Raw genomic sequence first — 15,093 nt, 5'->3', positions numbered from 1 at the left:
AGGCTCCTTGGGTGATGCTTATGGCTACACCCTAAGCAATGTTCATAACTACCCACCCCATACTCTTTGCTAACACCCTGCCATCACCCCTTCCCCTCCCCACCCAAGGCTGGGAAGTCTGGTCTCTCTTCCTTAGTAGAGTTCAGAAAATTGTAGTAAGGGAAACTGAGGCAGAAGGCTGAGGAGTGACTTCCTGAGATCACCACCTCATCAAGCTGGATTGTCCTCTGGGGAGATAGACCAGCTAGAAGGGCAGAGCCCTGTAGTGGGGGTGTGTGGGAGCAGGACAAAGAGTCCTCGGGAGCAGGAAGGGTGGAGCATTAAGCAGTGTCTAGGGGAGAGCGGATGGCTTTGGCCAAGGTACCCAGATGGAGCTCTGAGGTCCACGGGAGGTAGTTCCTGGGGGTAACATCGCCAAGAGGTCTGCATAGTTTCTGGGCCAGGGCACCTGCTCTGACCCTTCCAGGATATTTTCTAGCCACCCTGCCTTCTGGGCCACCGCTGACCTGGAGTAGGCTGAGACTCTAGTGGCCACTCTGCGGAGGCCCCAGCTTGCCTGCCCTGGGTGCCAGCTCCCCAGAGACCCTCCCTCCCACCCTCTCCCTTCTTCCCGTCCTTCCCCAGGGCCTGTGACACCAGAGGCAGGGCCTCCACAGCAACTTCTCTCTAGGCAGCTGCTCTGGCAACCACTGATGCAACCTTCCCAGCCCCTCCCTCGCTCCTGAGCCTCCGCTTTCCTCCGCAGTCACTCCAGAGCCAGCCAGGAGCCACTCCCTTGCTAGAGTGCATCCGTGCCTCCGGCTCCCTCCAAGCCACCTGGGTGGCTGCAGGACTTCTCTTCTGCCCTCCTTTCCTGGCCTTTTCCTGCCTTGATCCTAGGCCGGCAGCAGAGATGCCCAGCCTGGGCGGTTCACAGTCTGGCCCAATCTGGTCTGGTTTGGGATGGGAGTGGGGGTGAGCAGCAGATTCGGTTTGTTCCTGGGGCTCTGTTTCTGCCACAGGGCAGGCTGGGGGGTGGAGGATAATGGAGACCAAAGTGCCTAGGAGCCTGGGCTGCTGGTGTCTGGGCTCAGAGGCTACGAGAGGCATCTTGGATGTCCCACTGGTCACTGCCCCTGTGGCAGGTTGGGTAGAGAGGAGGCTCTGGCCAGCTGCTTGCCTCTCCGAGCCAGAGTTACTCTGGCAAGGAGATGGATGGTCCTGACCCACTCCCTCCCCAGCCTGGAGGCGCAGTCTGGGTGATGTGGAGGGATGTGGGCCTTCAGGTGGAGATAGGAGACACCTTGGTGTGGTCTTCTCCTCTGCAAGGCCAGAAGGTCAGCTCCTCTCCCGCACTGTCCCTGTCTCCTTGAAGGTCATCTTGGGCTGATGGGGCATGTGGATCTTGTGAAGAGGTGGGATGGGGTGGGGGGTAGAGACCGTAGCAGCCGCTGCTGAGGGCCTGCTGGGGGGCCCCCAAGGGAGTGGGCAGGCTAGGAGCAGGGAACGGGCATCGTGGGCCGCTGGTCTCTCCGCAGGGTCGGCAGGCCGCAGAGTGTGACTCCTGTTCTGTGTATGGCACTGGTAGAATTCACTGTGAACAGTCTCAGTCAGTGAATTACCGAAGGGCCATAAACAGAGCAGAGACAGATCCACGAGGGCCTCCGGAGCACCTTACCCACTTCTGCCTTGAGTGCTCCTAGACGTCGGAAACAGGCTGCTTCCAAGGGTGCAGGGATGCAAGGCCCCTCGTCCAGTGTGTCCCCAGAGAGCCCGCACCAGTGCCATCTGCTTGGCCGATTTTGGCACTAGCACATTTTTGCTTGTGTCTCTCCGCTCTGAGCAATCATGTGCAGTGCCAATATGGGAAAAGCAGGACCCGCAGCTGCGTCCGCCTCCCCTGCATCCTTGTGTCAGGGCCCCAGCCTGCTCCTCCTCAAGGCCTCCTCACCGCCTCCCCAGCCCATCTGGCTCAGCTGCTGTGTGAGGGCCCAGCGCTGGTGGGCAGCCAGATCGCCTTACACTGCCTGGGGCCACGGTAGAGCTGGGAGCCCAGCAATCTGAGCTGGGCCAGCAGATGGGGCCGCCCAGGGCAGAGGTGGGGGAGTCTGAAACCATCTGTAGGGCCATCCTGAATGGTGCCGTGGGTTGGAAAGGCCCAGCCAGGCTCCCAGCACACGCTTGGGGTGAGACCTTGGCTGGCAGCACAGGGCCTGGTCTTTTCTGCTGCAGGTTGTGAAGGGGGCAGCTCCAGGCAGGTGGGCTGCCCTTGAGGTCAGCCTGGGTGTTTCCAGGGGGGCTACCGTCTCTGGAGCTGTAGCCTGCTGTGGAGTGGGTCATCTCCGAACAGCTCCAAGAGGAGGATACTTAGTGGGGCTCGGAGTTGGAGGGCATTTTCAGGCCTGCCCCTAGAAGGTTCTGGAGCAGAGGCCAATGTTCCCCTTCACACACCACACACTGGTAATGTAGCTTCCTGGGTCCCTGGATCTGGGCTATGACTAACTGGCCTATGCTCTCCATCTGGGTGTCAGGTGACATTACATATATAATCCCAACAGTTCCCACCTCAGCCCTGTGGGGCTTGTAATTTTTTAAAATAGTTATCTCATAGATGGGGAACCTGAGGCTTTGAGAGGAAAGGCTTGGCTGAAGAGGTTGGTGAGTGGTAGAGCTGGGTCACTGTGGCTCTTCCGCCACCAGCCACACCTTCCATGGAGGCACCCAGGGCCTGGAGGTGTCTCAGCTCTGAATCTACAGGCCTGGGCTCCCAAGGATGCCCCAGATGGCAGAGACTGAGGCTGGGAGGCCTGGACCTAGTCTGTCAAAGCTGGGGAGAGCCTGGCCAGCCAGGCTGGACCCATGTGAAATCTGGTGGTCAGCAATCAAGCAGGAGACCAGTGGCCGACTTGGGACCAGCTGGGAGCTATCATGCCCCAGGTCACTGGGCCAGCCCCTGATGGGGCTGCTTCTCCCCAGGGAGCCTCAGGCAAGGGTTGGTGGACTTAGCCCAGATCAGTGGGAGTCATTTTAGGTGTCTGAGCCAGGGAGTGCCCGGGTGGGGGATGTGTGTGGTTGAAGCTGGCAGCTGGAGGATGACGGGTCCAGTTGACTGCACAGCAGGAACATGGTGACCAGTGCTGCCTGCCTGGGTGCCCTGGGGACTGCCTTGGGTGGGTTGGGCCTTTTTTTTCTTGTCAGTTAGCTATCACCAAACCGCGAGGAGCCCCCAATAAATTCCCTCTGGGGTGTGGTGCCCGTGTTTCTCTACAGAAGCTCTCCAAGCCCCTGCAGAAAAAAGGAGGGGCTTGTTTATTTCAGGATAGAAGGGGACTTCTGCCCTGGTGAGGTGTCCCTGTAGCTAGGTCTCTCTTCTGATGGCCCCAGCTCTCCCTCTGCCCCTCGGAACCTGGCTGGCCTGTGCCGCACCCTGTCTCTGTGCTCCAGTCCTCCGCCCCGGGTGCTTCCTTAGGGCGTCCTGCTGCAGGTCCCATGGGATAGGAAAGAAGGGATTTCCCGGCCTGAGTGAGAATGAGCCCTGGAGGTGGGGTGGGCACAGAGACCCAGCAAGGGGGGGTGGAAGGCCCCTGGCAGTGACCGGTTCTAGAGCTTTTCCCTGGAGCCTCTGGAGTGTCTGGCCAGGGTTCTGCTCCTTCCTGCCTAGCGGGGAAGGCCGGATGACAGAAGCTGCCCTCAGCCCCTGGGTGGTCTGCAGCTGGGCTCCACCTCCTCACACCTGCCCAGGTGGGCGCCTTTGCTGAGCCCCGAGTGCAGGCACTGGTGTGGGGGCGTGCCTCCACCAGGCTTCAGGCCCGGCTGCTCTGGGGCCCTGCTCCAGCGCTCCAGGGGAGGACCTCAGGCCAAAGCTAGTTTCTAGATCTCCTAATTTACCTAGTTCCGGGCCAGACCTGGGTGGTGAGTTCACCCACAACAGTGACTGTCCCAGAGAGTGGGGGCCACCACAGCTGGCCCTCCTCCCTAAAGACACAATTTCCTACCACCCAGGCTGGGGGCACTTAGGATAGGAGAGGGCCCCTCTTCACCTCCCCACCCTGCAGAACAGGTCCTGGATCCTCCCTTGTGTGGCTTCCAGAAGGTCTGTGAGATGGGCAAAAGGTTCTGCCCATGATCTGTCCAATGGTGTCCAGTGTCAGGCAGGAACGCTGTCCCACTGCAGCGAAGGCCTTTCTTGCTGGAGCGGGAGGGTCACTGAGAAGCACTTTTTGCTTTGTTTTTCTGTTTGTCAAAAGCAGCGGCTCCCAGATGCCCGGGTTTAGGGCGTCCCCCATGTCGGGCACCTTGCTTGGCCTGTCTGGGTGCGTGGAGCGGCAGGAGGGGCAGCTCCCTGGAGGGCTGTATGAGTGGGTTTTCCAGACTCCCCGCCTCCCCCACCACTCCATTTGCTTATTCATTCCAGGCCATTATCCCAGCCTCTGCCCAGCCTCAGGCGGGTCGAAATGCGATCCGGCACCATTGATCGCCTGCAGCCCCAGGCTGCCGATGGAGCCCGGCTGGTGCGGCCACAGCTGGGTGGGGAGGAGGACAGGACCCCCCACATACACACTGGAGGAGGGTGGGAGTGGCCTCCTCAGCAAGTCCCAGGCTTGGGGGCTCCATGGGACCAAGAGAGCCCAGTGCTGCTGATGTCCCAAAGCAGGCCCGCCCACCCTCGGAGAGGCTTCCAGAGTCGTGCCTCTGCTCAGAGGCCAAACCTTCCCCACCAAGCCTCTCCTTTCGGGCAGAGGTGTCCTCCCCAGCGCCCAAGCCCAGGCTGCCGGTCCGGTCTGGGTGCCACCGAGGTCCTGGACTTGGCCCTGGGGATGGCCTGGATCTGTTTGCATCTTAAGCCATCATCCCATCTCACTCCACCCTAAAGGGCAGGCAGGATGGGAGGGGTGGTGGCGGTGGCGGCGGCAGCGGTGTCATTTTGGGGGCCCTGCCAAGTCAGCTGCTCCCCCAGCCGGGGCATGTTCGGAAAATGAGCCTGCTCATGGTGGGCCCATACTGCCCAGGAGGCTTGAGGGCAAAGAGTCCCTTCCAGGCTGCAGGGGAGGCATGGGGATGCAGGGTTGGGGGCAGGCAGCCTGCACCCTTGCTAAAGGCTTGAGATGCCTTCAGGACACTTCAACACCCCTTGGGAAAGGACCTGGCCTCATCAGGGGAAGTGGGAACACGGAAGTGTGCTGCCCTTGGGTAAGTGACTGGCGGTCTGGGGAAATGCCACTCCGAGAATCAGATCGCAGCCAGCCCTCAAAGGGTCTGGGTGTGTGCAGGGCTGCTGGGTGTGTGCAGTGGGTTCTGTGGTCAGGAGAGTGCCGTCTGGATGGGAGATATTTGGTTGGTTTTAGCTTGGCCCATTCCTGCCACTGACTGATGGCCCCAGAGGCTGCCTGTTCCCGTTCCTGGGTAGAAGGTCCCAGCGCCATTGTTTGTCCACTGCTTTTAGGGAAGAGGCCTTGGCAAGTGGAATGCTCTTCCTCCCTTGGACTTGATAGGGAGGAGGAATGTTTTGTGTAGCAACTTCCCTCTCTCCCTTTGGGGTGGGCAGCCTGTGAGCTTTAGGCTCTAGGGAATGGCTTGGGAGCATCTCTCTGGATTAAATGGAGCAGTGACGTGGGCTTAGTAAATAGCAAAACCCAGCCCACATTAGCCATCTCTTCCCCAGCGCCCAGGGGCAGGGCTCTCTGGCCTGGCTTGTGCTGGTTCCCAGAGTCCCTGCTGTCAGGTGCTGGGAGTGGAGGTGCCCTCGGGTTCCCTTGGGAGTGGTGACCACAGCTCAGGGCCTGGGTTGGATCCTGGTGGCTGCCCTAGGGATGGTGTCTGCTCCATGCCTGCCCACAGGAACTGCAGGTTACAGATATGAGGGGAAGGGAGGAGAGGAGGGGGCTGAGGAGGGACCGGGACCAGCAGGAAGGGGGACTGTGGGGTTGGGCCTCCACACCAGGGCGACCCTGCAGGAAGGACCTTGTCGCAGTTGCGGGGATGGGCGCCTCTGTCCTGGCCCTGCCTGGACCATCCTAACTGTCTCTGTCTCTTCCTCAGCACAGACCGAGGCCTCCCCAGCTCCTGGGGGGAGCTGCTTGCCTCCCCCCGTTTTTGGCAATGGTAGAACTCACACTGGTGAGGTAACAGGATCCGGTGGTTCTAGACTTGCCAACTATGGGGCGAGGACTCAGCCGGCACCCTGTGCACAGCCAGCGAGGGAAGGGCCGGCCATGCTGGACCTGCTGTTCTCCGCGAGGAAGGAGGGGACTCAGGTCCCGGACTGCTGGGTAGTGGCAGAGGGCAGGTGCAGCTGGAAGTGACACTCTGTGTTTCCCTGCATCCCCCTGAGGTCACAGGTCCTCAAGTCAGCTGGGAAGCCGTTCTCTGGCCCTCAGGGGTGCTGCCAAGAGGAGCTGGGGTCCAGCTCTGCTCCAGGCTGTGGCCCTGGAGTCTGAATCGAGGAGTGAGGGAACTGGGGGATGTTTGGTTTCAGGGCTTTGGCCTGGCTCCTCTGGGTGGTGAACCTTCTCACCCTCTCCCCTGAAAGGCCCTGTTCAGGGTGGGCTCTAGGGCCCCGAGGGAGGGTCTCCTAACCTTCCACAGGTCACTAAGAGTGGTTCCTTCCTGGGCTGCTGGCTGGGAGGATGAGGGCAGGGAGGGCACGCCGTGCATCACGGACATCCAGTGATCCTGCTGAGGCCATGGAGGGCCAGATGGGATAAGCCTCCAGAGATGTGCAGGAGGAGAGTGTACAAGTCACTTGTGTAAATGCGGGACTGGCCCCCTGGGGTGCAGGTGGCCCATGGGCTGGACCTCTATGCCTCCAGCATTCCACTTCATGGATTTGTTCCTCCTGACGCCTCAGAACCTGAGACAAAGCCTCCACTCACCTTCCCAGAGCTTGTGTTTGCAGTGGGAGCTCCCCTGAGCCGGAGCCGGGCCACAGGGTCAGAGTGAGTGGCACTTCCCAGAGAGTTGGGCTTGGTGGGCAGACCTGCTGGGGAAGCCCGGCCCTGGAGTCTCCTGGCCTGCAGATGGCTCAGGAGCCAGAGTGGGAGCTGCGCGTGTGGTTGAGAGGGTGTGGGTGCAGGTGTAAGTGTGTGTGTGAGTGTGGCCTAGCCCGCAGTGAACGGTGCAAATGCAAATGTGAAGGCCTATCCCCTGCTCCCCAGCCCTCGGCCTGCCAGCCTTCCTTCTCTGGTGCTCCCCATCCCCCAAACCCCTTCTATCAGCCCCCATCAGCCCTCCTTTCTCCTCACCTGCCCTCGGAGGGTCATGTGTGGTTCCATGACCCACCAACCCCTGTGGCTGGGCAGGGCGGGGCAGACATCTATCTGGTGGCTCCAGGCTCAACCGGCTCCGTGCAGCTCACTGCGCTCTTTTGGGGAGACACAGGCCGAGTAGGGAAGGTCTGAGCCGGCAGCTCTTGAGACAGAAAGAGAAGGGAACTGTTCTCCCGCAGGCTGCACTATGCATGTTACATGCCGTGAGCACAAGCAGACGCTGCGTAAACAGGCTGGCTCTGCAGGGCATGAAGAAGGCTGCTCTGAGCTAGGGCCACACGGCACCTGCTGGGACACAGGGAGGGGTGGGGAGTCCTGGAAGATGAGTGACCCTCAGGGAGAGGAGGAGACTCCTGTTGGAGAGCACACAGATTTCCTGGGGTCTATGCCGGGCTGGAAGGCTGGCCATCTTAAGGCTGCATTTGTTCCCGAACCTAAGGACCATGGGAGCCACGCAGCCAGAGGGGGTGTGATCAGATGTGTGTTCTGGTTGGATGGCTCTTGTGGCTGTGTGCAGAATGAAAGGAGGAGTTGGACTTGGCCATTAAGTCCACGATGGCAGAGGAAGCAGGTGCCATGGGAGAAGGACCTTGGATACATGCCCAGGAAGGTGAGTAGGGGTCTGCCAGAGACCAGGGCCTGAAACGGCTCTGCTCTCTGTTCTTTTTTTTTTTTTTTTTTGAGACTTGAGTCTTGCTCTGTCGCCCAGGCTGGAGTGCAGTGGCGCCATCTCGGCTCACTGCAAACCCCGCCTCCCGGGTTCACGCCATTGTCCTGCTTCAGCCTCCTGAGTAGCTGGGACTACAGGCGCCCACCACCACGCCTGGCTAATTTTTTGTATTTTTAGTAGAGACGGGGGTTTCACCGTGTTAGCCAGGATGGTCTCGATCTCCTGACCTCGTGATCTGCCCGCCTTGGTCTCCCAAAGTGCTGGGATTACAGGCATGAGCCACTGCGCCCGGCCTGCTCTCTGTTCTTAAGCTTGTAAATAACAAAACCAGGAGATGTGGGCTGAACGGTTTAGTGTAGTGATCAACAGCAGCATAATCGCGGTGCCCAAGTACTGCTAAGTGCTAAGCATGGAGGTAAGGTCAGTGATTAGAATGCGTTTTATAGTCCAAGCTGGCGTGGAGGAGCCTTGCATCATCTTTGTCCCCCGACCCACATAGCTTCATTTGGCTGGTACAGCTGCTGGTGCTCCATGCTGGCAGGAATAGAATTATTATGGGGCCTCAGCAGGGTGGGCGCTGAAGAAGAAATTGGGGGCTTTGGGCAGATTGAGTCACAGTAAAGCTATTGATCTTTGAGCACAGACTGTGCTACATTTTCATGATTTCAGTGAATCCTCACAACCACGGGCAGCGCACAGATGAGCAAACAGGATCAGGACAATGAAGTGTTTATAGCCAAGGTGAGTGGTGGAGCAGGGAACCCGGGCCCTGGCAACTGCTCCCAGAGGCTGCAGGCCCCGTGCCACACAGCCAGGGGAGGGGGCTGCACTGTGGCCAGTGGACCCTGACCTTCTCCCTGGTGCCCCTTTAGCCCCTGCAGAGACTTCTGCCTTTCCCTAGGATACATGGTTGCTGGGGGTGGCAGAGCTAGAACCAGGGTGGTGGGAAGGCAGGACTGATCAGTGGGATGGTCCCTACGGAATGGAATGTCCCAGCTGCCGTCACCACTGCCACCTCCCCATCTCTGTCCTGCCCTGCTCCACTGACCGTCCTCTGAGCTAATCTGACCACAGTATCCCCACCCTCTCCCTTGGGATAAGCCCAAGCGCCTTACCTGGTTTATGGGGCCTGGTATGACCCAGCCTTGCCATGCAAACTACCCTCCTGCTCCCCCCACCTGTCTTCCTGCTCGCCAGGAAGAAATTGTTTCGCCTTCCTCATGTGGCCTGCCCTCCCCGCCAGCTCTTCCTCCCTTCGAAGCTGGTAAGGCAGCATGTCTCAAATGCCCTGCACACACCTTCCCAGCCTGCCAGTGCTAAAACCACAGGGCTAGGGGTGAGGGTTGAGGTTAGTAGGTCAGCTTCACCCATCAACTGTGGAGGCTTTTTGGGTCCAGGCTGTATCTCACTCACACTTTCATGCCCAGGGCTGGCCTTGGCCTGGTATGGGGCCTGGCATGTGGCAGGGAGGCTGTGGAATTCCAGACCTGGGTGATGCATTCTGACTTCCACACTCTGCGTAACCTCTGACCTCAAGCATCTCCGAAAGTCTTGTCACCCCCCCAAGAGTCTCAGTTCCCGCAGTGGAAGGGACCCTCGTGCATGGGTAGCCCATGGGCCCCCTGAGGTCATAGGAAGGCCTGCCTGGCTCTGACCTCCAAAAGGGAGGGGCTGCCCTGGTGTCAGGGCCTAGGGCGTACAGATGGCTCCACAAGGCAGCTCCTCCAGGTCAGGCAGCTGGAGCCCGGGCACCTTTTGGAGCACAGAGTAAGTGTGCACAAAGTACCATCAAAACCACATGTGAGAGGTTTCCACAAAGACCAGCTTTCCAGCAGAAAGAAGATGGCTGCATTAAGTCCACCAATATTCATTTTTTTTTTTTAAGAGGCATCCAACATTCCTGCAGGGGAAGAGGCTGTTAGGGATGAACTCAGCTGTTCTTTTTTTTTCTTTTTGAGACAGAGTGTTGCTCTGTTTCCCAGGCTGGAGTGTGCTGGCACGATCTTGGTTCACTGCAACCTCTACCTCCTGGGTTCAAGCAATTCTCCTGCCTCAGCCTCCCAAGTAGCTGGGATTACAGGTGCCTGTCACCAAGCCTGGCTAATTTTTGTATTTTTAGTAGAGATGGGGTTTCACCATGTTGGCCAGGCTGGTCTCGAACTCCTGGCCTCAAGTGATCTGCCCACCTCGGCCTCCCAAAGTGCTGGCGTTACAGGTGTGAGCCACCGCGCTCGGCCCCCATCAAGATTCTTGTTAAACACTAACAGCAAAGGGCTGGGCTTGCTGCAGGAGGCATGGCACCCAATGCCAATGGGTCTGCCCTCCTGGTACACACAGCTCAACGCGGGAGCTGGGCTGGGCACGGTTACAAGCCCCACTGGGCAGTGTGGATGGGGCAGGTGCATGTAGTACAGACAGGAAGAGGTGCTGGGGCTGAAGAAAGGCATGGCCTCCAGGGCTGGGGTGGTGCATGGGCTCTGAGTGGAGGGAGCCACCTACATTGAGCCTGAGTAGAGAGAGAAGGGGGAAAGAGCAGGTCCCAGGGGGAGGAATACAGGGGCAAAGTGTGGTGCTTGGAAGGACAGGCTGCAGCCAACTTACAGCAGCAGATTCCTGGAGGAGAATCATGGGAGATGAAGGTTGTGAAGCCCTTGACGTTATCCCTCAGTCTGGGCTCAGTTTGGAGGGCACCCGTGCTGTGGTGTGCGCTGGACCAGACCAGAGATGGTCTGGCTATCCAGGTCCCTTCTGTGGCTTACTCGCTATATTGCTGTGCATTGGAAGACGTTTCAAAACATAAAATCCAGGATTTTTGGTTTTCGTTGGGGGCCACTCAGGAAATTCCAGTTCACTCCATTTCTGGAAACAACTCACCCATCTCCAGGAAAAATGGAAACTGGAGATTTTAGCTATGAAAGATTTGGGTGGTAATGTGAGGTTATTTTCAAGTAGTTGAAAGAATTCTAGTTCTCTATGACTTAAGAGAGCAGAAGCAGGGGCAGTAGCCGACCCCAGACAGGCATGTTCTATACATCACACAGAGCTTCCTGACTGCACCAATGAGGGCCTCGGGTCTGGACCCTCCATCTCTGGAGATGGCCAAGCAAAGGTGCTGGAGTGGGATGCCAACCTCAGGTGGGGACCAGATCAGATGCCCTGTCAGCATGACAATCCTAAGTTTATGTCGAGGCTGGTTCCTCACCCAAGTTGGGGCCTCTCACAACTCCCTAAATTCCCCAGCCATAATCTAGGCATTTAAAAATGTATATAATTGGGAGGCTGAGGCAGGCAGATCGCAAGGTCAGGAGTTCAAGACCAGCCTGGCCAATATGGTGAAACCCCGTCTCTACTAAAAATACAAAAATTAGCTAGGCGTGGTGGTGGGCACCTGTGACCCCAGCTACTCCGGAGGCTGAGGCAGGAGAATCACTTGAACCCAGGAGGTGGAGGTTGCGGTGAGCCAAGATCGCACCACTGCACTCCAGCCTGGGTGACAAAGCGAGACTCCATTTCAAAAAAAAAAGTATAAATGCTGTGATGAGAAAACTGAACACGAAGAGTTTTGCATTCACAGTGGATGTGTCTTTTCTCAAAGAGCAGAAGCTGAACAGTCAGCCCCTGTAGTGGGAGGTGGGCAAGTCCTGTAGGGAGGGTTCTCCAAGCTCTGCTACACGTGTTGGCCCAGGCATGACCTCAATCTTCCAGGGATTGAGGCCTCTCCTTGCACTGGCTTCGCTGGTGTTTCCTGGGGTGAGAGGCCGGCTGGAAAAGGAGGCAGCAGGCCTTGAAGTGGCAGAGAAGGCTCCATCATCAGATGCTAAAACTGCCAGTTTCAACTTTTCCTGGAGATGGAGTTGTTTTCAATAATGGAGTGAACTGGATTTCCTGAACAAGCCTCCCAGTGAAGAGGAAGCACAGCACCCACTGGAGCTTGTCAGGGGAGGTGAGCCACAGGCAGAGGTGCCCATCCCCCATATCCTTGGGGCAGGGTGGGGCTCACACTTTTATGAAAACGGATTTGTGTCTCTTAGGGTTGGGTGGAAATGGAACCTTTCCTTGCCACTGACTAACCCACAAGTCTGAGGTGTCTTCTGTTCATGGAACCAAAGGCATCAGGCTTCTTGATTTGGTGGATCTGGACACAACATGGTTTTATTTTCTATGGTCACTGCCTTGACCTTGTTTGACCTTGTTCTGTTGACTTTCCCTTCTAGCTCCTTTTTTTTTTTTTGAGATGGAGTCTCGCTCTGTCACTCAGGCTGGAGTGCAGTGGCGGGATCTCAGCTCACTGCAACCTCTGCCTCCCAGGTTCAAATGATTCTCCTGCCTCAGCCTCCTGAGTAGTGATCCACCTGCCTTGGCCTCCCAAAGTGCTGGGATTACAGGCGTGAGCCACTGTGCCCGGCCCATTCTAGCTCCTTAATGACATTTTGGGTGAATTCTGTATCTGTGTAAGCATGTACCATCATTCAACCTATCACTTTCAAGCTTCAGTCTCAAACTTGAGTTCAAGTACATGTGCTGCCCTTTTCCTGAGGGGAGGCAGGACCTCGGTGTTGGGAACGTGGTCTTCCTGGTAGACACTTCCCTTCTCTGCTCATGGTCCAGATCCTCCAGAAGCAGGGGGTGGGGGTTTGGGTGGGGGATAGAGGGGTGGGCAAGGAGGGAGGATGGGAAAGGGAAGGCAGAAATCCTTAAGCACTTTCCCCCAGACCTGCGACTCTAATAGCTCCACCCATCTTTGCAGATCTTAGATGGCCCATGGCGGGACCACTGGGGTGGTGGCCAGGGGCAGCTGAGCCCGTTGTATCCTTGTGCTCCCGTGGTTGGCGGTTCTCTTGAGAATGTGGGGTTCCAATATGGGGAGAACTCTGTGTCCACAGTTGTGGCTCTGATCATCCATCCCAGGAAATGGAAAAAGTCACACGCCATTCCTTGCTCAAGCAGCCATTTCAGATGGCCAGTTCACCATACCCGTCTCCCCTCCATCCTTTCCTTAATGCTCTGTAAATAAACACTGAAATGCCACATTAGTTTGGCCCCTCCCAGGAAACTTTCAAAATTGAGGTTTTAAGGTCTAAGGAAATAAAGCTATTTCTTTGGCTATAAAAATGTTGTGAAAGATGCTGAATATAAAATAACTTGGCGTTCTCTTAAACTTAAAAAAAAAAGTACTTAGTGCTTTGTTTCTTCGAGTAACTGTGTCTTGTTCCCTTTCTAGTAATTCCAACCTCTTAGCCAAGACCAGAGCTAAAAGGGCACCTTCATCACACCGCCGACGTTGACCCCAGGCTGACAAATGTGACCTGCTTCCGTTGGTCTTTGAATCCTCATTTCTATTTGCTTTTCAACTTTATTGTATATATCTTTTATGTAACTTACTTCAAGTTATTTTGTAGGGAAATGTGTAAAAAACCCCTGCTTTTTGGGATCATGAAAATATTTCAAAGTTAGATTATGGTGATGGTTGCCCAACTTTGTAAATATACTAAAGATCGTTCAATGGTACGCTTTAAACGGATGAACTTAATGGTATATAAATTATCTCAATAAAACGATTTGAAAAAATTCTTGAGGCTACTGGGGATGGTGGGAGGCGGAGACGGCACACAGCTACCCAAATGACCCCTAATTTACTAAGGCAGGCCTCCACAGACCCAGATAGGCAGTATGGCCCGTGGGGAAGCCGGGGATGCCCGCGCCATCATTCCCCGGCTGCAGCACCCTGGCACATAAAGGCGGCCACTGGCACTCGGGGGTTGCTTTTCCCAGCTCGCTTCCCCCGAGAGCGGCCCATACCCTGCGGTCTGGACCAGGCCTTCCGGATGTCCTGCCATCGCTGATTGGGCCGCAGGTGGACACGTGGTCTCAGCCGGCCAATCGGGTGCGCCCCCGACGGCGGCTCTGGGTTCGGGATGCGCTCGGGCTCTGAGTGACCCCGCGTCGCGTCTCCCGCACCCGGGCCGCCTTCGCCCAGGCCATCTGCGGGCTTCCGCGCTCACAGTCGGGCAGGTGTTGAGCCCCGGCAGGCCTCAGGCGCTTCCCTGCATCGTGGCGTTCAGGCTGGGCTAGAAGACAGGGCCCGCACTGGCTGGGTCCTACGGGAGGAGTGGGCGTCGGCATGGACGGGAGGCCCCTGGGCCAGGGACCCTCAGCTCGGCCGTGCCCCACAGCCCCGCACGAATGCCCTGCTCCCAAGGACCTCAGCAGGGCCCACGAAGTCTTCATCGTCCTTGTCGTTTGACCGCTGTTTTGGACAGATGAGTACCCAGAGGCCCAGGTTAGAGAATCCTATTATGTGATGAGTTACCCCGAACTTCGGCTAACTTAAAAAACATTACTGTATTTAAAAAAAAAAAAAAAAAAAAAAGGTCTATCTTCATGGTTGTTTTCTGCAACCATTTTGGTAAATTCCAGAATTACACATTAATTTATTTGGTGTAAACGTTGCTCTTGCTTTCTATAAAAATAGCTCTGGTAAAGGAAATACCTAACTTCTAAATTAAAAATTTCAGATTTTGAGAATCTGGATGGTAACCCGGGCAGGAGGAGCTGAGTAGGAAAGGGAGCAGAGTGATTTGGGGGATGAGCCAGCCATGTGACCCGGGGCTTCAACTTTCATAGCCCAAATGAGGAGTGGTGGCTAACTTCCCTCGCAGATTAAAGTCCACTATGAGAGGGCCAAGCTTTGGCTTCGTTTCCTGATCACCCAGGGGTTTTTGAGTTCTCCTAGTCTCATTGGGCCCTGAGGTTTTTAAAGACCAACACAGTGCAACTGTTAGTGACCAAGAATGTGTTCAGCATCAACATTTCACTATCCGTCACCCCTGCCAGGATATCACATAGCCAGATTTTTCTTAAGAATACAATCAATGTTATTTTTACATAAAATTATTTAACATTGGATTTTTGCAGAAATATATATATATATATATATATATATATATTTTTTTTTTTTTTTGTAGAGACTGGTGTTGCTCTGTCACCCAGGCTGGTCTCGAACTCCTGGCCCTAAAGCTATCCTCCTGTCCTGGTCTCCCAAAGTCGTGGGATAACAGGTGTGAGCCACCATGCTGGCCAGACTTTTTTGAGTAATGAAAATGTGTGGGAATAGGTGTTTTGGGTTCTCTGAATTTTCTGATTAAACTACCACTGGAAAACTAGGTTCACTCATCCTAT

At 56.3% G+C, this 15,093-nt stretch overlaps 1 long non-coding RNA gene and 3 other non-coding genes across 4 annotated transcripts, besides 2 other annotated features; all 4 read left to right on the top strand.

Annotated features, from left to right (window-relative positions):
• MIR183 (microRNA 183) lies at positions 1,528-1,637 on the top strand. Its single transcript, NR_029615.1, has one exon. It is a non-coding gene; the product is annotated as a microRNA 183 (primary transcript).
• On the top strand, positions 1,773-1,850 carry MIR96 (microRNA 96). The gene has a single exon (NR_029512.1). It is a non-coding gene; the product is annotated as a microRNA 96 (primary transcript).
• Positions 2,448-3,309: an enhancer, noted in NCBI's record as "H3K27ac-H3K4me1 hESC enhancer chr7:129413073-129413934 (GRCh37/hg19 assembly coordinates)". NCBI's record gives its function as "activates a minimal SCP1, AML or CMV promoter by ChIP-STARR-seq in naive H9 embryonic stem cells {active_cell/tissue: H9 hESC(naive)}" and the evidence as "EXISTENCE:reporter gene assay evidence [ECO:0000049][PMID:30033119]".
• Positions 5,036-5,899: an enhancer, noted in NCBI's record as "H3K27ac-H3K4me1 hESC enhancer chr7:129410483-129411346 (GRCh37/hg19 assembly coordinates)". NCBI's record gives its function as "activates a minimal SCP1, AML or CMV promoter by ChIP-STARR-seq in primed H9 embryonic stem cells {active_cell/tissue: H9 hESC(primed)}" and the evidence as "EXISTENCE:reporter gene assay evidence [ECO:0000049][PMID:30033119]".
• On the top strand, positions 6,050-6,159 carry MIR182 (microRNA 182). Its single transcript, NR_029614.1, has one exon. It is a non-coding gene; the product is annotated as a microRNA 182 (primary transcript).
• Positions 7,337-13,560, top strand: LOC105375501 (uncharacterized). The gene is made up of 3 exons (XR_927963.4): positions 7,337-7,854; positions 8,584-8,655; positions 13,136-13,560. It is a non-coding gene; the product is annotated as an uncharacterized LOC105375501 (long non-coding RNA).
• The last annotated feature ends 1,533 nt before the right edge of the window (positions 13,561-15,093 follow it).

This window comes from Homo sapiens, chromosome 7, assembly GCF_000001405.40.
Source record: "Homo sapiens chromosome 7, GRCh38.p14 Primary Assembly".
Taxonomy (NCBI): domain Eukaryota; kingdom Metazoa; phylum Chordata; class Mammalia; order Primates; family Hominidae; genus Homo; species Homo sapiens.
This window is presented reverse-complemented; position numbering and strand designations above follow the sequence as displayed.